Source organism: Homo sapiens, chromosome X (assembly GCF_000001405.40).
Source record: "Homo sapiens chromosome X, GRCh38.p14 Primary Assembly".
In the NCBI taxonomy this organism is placed as follows: Eukaryota; Metazoa; Chordata; class Mammalia; order Primates; family Hominidae; genus Homo; species Homo sapiens.
The window spans coordinates 95059467-95063766 of record NC_000023.11 but is presented as its reverse complement, the minus strand read 5'-3'; the positions used below and the strand labels follow the sequence as shown (position 1 = coordinate 95063766).

The following is a 4300-nucleotide window of genomic DNA, read 5'->3' as shown; positions in this document are numbered from 1 at the left end:
CTGAGCAGAAACCACAAGTGACATTCACCATGTATTACTCATCTGTGTTTTTAGAGAGAGAGAGAGATCTAGTTTTCTTCCAACTTTCTATAATCACAAGCAATGCTACAATAAATATATATTCTCCTATGATCCTATGTGAGAATTCTTCTTGGTTACAGACCCAGGAGAGGTCTGTATTAACCCAGGTTAATAGGTCATAGCATATGCATGCACTTAATTTGGTTAGTTGCTGTCACACTACTCTTCAGAATGGCTGCACATGTCTACATGCCCACCAATGATAAATGAAATCTGATTTCTCATCCTTGTCAATATATAACATTATAAAATTTTCTAATCTTTGCAAATATAAATGGAAAGTGGCAAAGCATTGTTTTAATATACCTTTTATTACTAGTGATTTTGAACATATTTTCTCATGCTTATTGGATATTAGATTTTCCCTTCTCTGACTTGCTTATTCTTATATTTTCTTAAATTTACGATTTTATTTTCTTGTTGGTTCATATGAGTTTTTTTTGTTGGTGTTTATTCTAGATATTAGGTTGGTGCAAAGGTATTTGTGGTTTTTGTCATTAAAGTAATGCAAAAGCCACAAATACCTTTGCACCAACCTAATATTAGCCCCTCGGAATTATAGACATGGCAAGTATCTACTATCAGTAAGTTGACTGGAGTAATTTACTACCCTGAAATATTTTATCTTGATATAGTCAATGCATAAAATTTTGTCTTACAGTTTGTGATTTGGGGACTTTAAGATGCTTTTTCTTATCTCTAGGTTGAACAAATTATAAGACTTTTTTTGACAACTAAGCAACATTTCAAATCTTATCACCAATGTTTTACTTAGTATAAATTCAAACATGTAAATTAACCTTAATTTTTGAGACTAAGCGCAAAGAGTACCTTAGCAATGTAGTATAGTATAACATAAAGAACACTGGACTAGAAGTTGGAAGACCACAGTTCTTCTTTCACCTTTACCATTTAGTAGCTGTGATCTTGGTAAACTCATAGCCTCAATGAACTTGAAAATATTTGATTGGGAAAGCGAGGATAATACCATTACCATCAGGTCTGCCTTAGATTACTATAAGCGTTAAATGAGATAATTATTTTGAAAGTACTTTGAAAGTTGTGTATTGCAATTCAGATATAAAATCATGATGTGGTCAGTGTATATTTTGGTTTCATTTCACTAATGAGATTTTCTGAATCAGTGGTTTTCAGAACACAGCTTCAAATATACTAATAAATGTTTTTGCAAAATGAATTATATGTTCAAATCAGGTTGGTATTTTATTATTTAAGTCAGTTATTTACTGTGGGATTTCTTAGAACAATTACTCTTTTTTAATTTTTTTATTTTTAATTTTCTTGGGTACATAGCAGGTGTATATATTTATAGGGTACATGAGATGTTTCGATACAGGCATGCAATGTGAAATAAGCACATCATGAAGAAGATGGAGAACCATTATTCTTCTAATATGCTTGGAAATTTTTTTAAAGACTCATGCAATAGTATGACTTTTTTCCCCCACAGCTCTTTGCTTATTGGGTCTTTTTTCATGGGATACCTACGAATATGTCCCTGAAAATATTTTAAAAATGCAAGTTTGAGAAAATTTTATTCACTTAAAAGAACATGAGGCTTTTCATATTCCAGTTCTGTTACTTATGTAAGACTCTGGGAATGGTACTTAACCTCTTTGAGTTGTACTTTATTCAGCCTTAAAAACAGGGATAAATAAGGCTATTGCAAGATAATGTATATAAAAAGAAGTGCCTGGCAAATAGTAGGAACTCAGTAAGTGGTGGTAGTGGTTAGTTTATTTTTTGTTATTTTGATATTATTATTAACAGTATCAATGTAGACACTGACCTCTGATCAATAGCTTGTATTCATTAAATCTCACTTTCCATTTTTATACCCAACAGAATGTCATAGAGGTTGTTAATGTTTCTTTGCACCAAGATATTTAGAGTACCCCTGCTAATATTGTCATTGAAATCGCAGGTGGGCTTGCTGCCACATTCCTTGCATCATTTCAGCCACCAATGAAATAAAAATGGATAGTTTTGAGCTATTTCTGTGGCTCTAATATAAATAAGTTCATAAGGTGGGGAATTCCTTCATCCATAATCCTGTTTTAGAGTGGAGTTTTTATTGTGATATGTGATAACAATAAATATTGGTTTACTTTCCATCCTTCTCATTTATCATCAGCACTTATATCTTCCTTTAAAATTATTTTTCTTTATTCATCACCTCATATGTATGATATACTTTAGTTACCTCACTTAGATTTTGAATTCACCCCACATACAAAGAAATTCACTGAATTTTGTTCAATGAGAAGTTAAATAGCTACTCTTTCTAAGCATTATTTTGGAACTTTTCTAAATTTATGAAGCTACTACCATCAGTGCATAACTTGTAGTTAAGCAAAATCAGTCCTTAAGAGTTAAAAAATTTTCAATTTGTTGTTTGATGAAAAGCATATACCCCTCTGTGACATTCTTACTGTGATGTTGTAACCTATATAAACTTAGAATTCAACCAGAATTTCTTTGATTCTAACCTTTGTAAGATTCCAATGGGGTGAATGCATTTTGATAGCTAGATCTTCTGTCCTGTCACCTTTCAAACACTCTGATTGCCTGTAGCCATTTCAGTTTGTATGTGACGATGAAACAAGCCAGTAACGGTCTTTGTCATTTCCATTTTTCACACATTTTCTTCGGTAATAGCACTTGCCATTTCAATTCTTCACACATTTCCTCCCCTCTTTCTCTAGCTTTTGCTCTCACTCTCACTCACTCTCTTCTTATGTATGTTTGTGCTTTCTGTGTGAGTAAAAACTACTGTCAGCAGCTAGGTGCCACAGTACATTCGACTGTAAGAAAGCACAGCTTCAGAACTGTCAAACAAAATGAAAATGAAGCAAATCACAAAGGAGACAGTTGGCTAGAATTAGGCCTGCAGATCCCACTCCAGCTATGCCATGTTGCTATGGGTCATCAGGAAAACCTGAGTTAGGGAGGCATTTTACCTCTCCTTTTGCAGCCAGTCTCACAGAAATATTATTCATCAAAAGAACATCTGAAGCTTGTTGTGCAAGAGTTAATTACCAAAGAGCAGTCAAGGCCAACTTGGTGCGTCTCTTTCTTTGACACTCATGCAAAGACACAAAGTTACTCTGGTGAGATTGAAAGAGGATAGAAATCACAGAATCACAGAAGATACTATGCATGTACCTGTTCTGAGTGTTATTGATCCACTTACGACCTTTTCATGAAATCCAAAACAATATCCTCTCAAGCTCGAGAGGCAATGGGAAGAGTAACACACAACTTTGCCCTAAAGAGTATTTCTGCAACGGGCTCAAGAGTAGAATAAAAACTATTGACTGCCTTTGTATCCTACGGCAGCGAAACCAGAATGGACATTGCTCTGAAACTGTCTCTTCACTGGAAAATACATACAAAGTAAAATTTAGGCATTTCGTGGGGTAGAGTTGCCTATAAAGGTAACTAGTCTATTGAGCCTACTTTGTTCCATATTCTTTCTGTAAGAGTCAGGTGATGGTGTACACTGAAGAAAAACAACTCCTAAGCCCAGCACAGAAACATGCTGAGCCAGCTTTTCCCAAGGCCTATGCTACAGTCCTACGTGGGTGGTATATTAAGCATTCACTTTTTCAGGCCTGCAGGCTCTGCTGACATAGTTGTTTAATAAGTCCTTCCCTGGGAACCTGAAAATAGAAACACCTGATGCACTGCCCAACAGTAACTTTCTGGCCTCAGGAGACTCTATCTTTCTATTTTTCTCCATGTATGTGGCAAATTAAAACAAAGAGTTCCTTTAAATTTATTTCTGTCCCAAATGCCAACCCCCGAGATGTTCGGAGATTATATTCAGATTCAGACTACTACTGCACCAACCAACAGTCCAACTCTTATTACTTGCGACCCCCTAGCTGGCTTTTACTGCTGTTGGCTTTGCATCCTAATTCACGTGGTGTGACCTGGTGCCTTTGTAGTTCTGGTTTTCAGTAAAGGAAATAAAGTCTCCAGCACTTCACGGTAGGAATTTCTGTTCCATGTGGATAACTGCCTTTGCTTTAAGATACTTCTAATATTCTGCTTCAGTGGGAGGGAGAAAAAGTCAGTGATCATTTTTTATGACACTATTAATTTGCAAAAGCTTGGTGGAAGTTAAAAGGAGGGCAGTATGATTAATGGAATTGTCCATTGGAAAAGAAAGCTTTGAAGGAGTTAAATATTTGGG

At 35.2% G+C, this 4300-nt stretch overlaps 1 non-coding gene across 1 annotated transcript; it reads left to right on the top strand.

The window, feature by feature from the left end:
- The first annotated feature begins 540 nt into the window (after positions 1–540).
- On the top strand, positions 541–626 carry MIR548M (microRNA 548m). Its single transcript, NR_031667.1, has one exon. It is a non-coding gene; the product is annotated as a microRNA 548m (primary transcript).
- Positions 627–4300: the final 3674 nt, after the last annotated feature.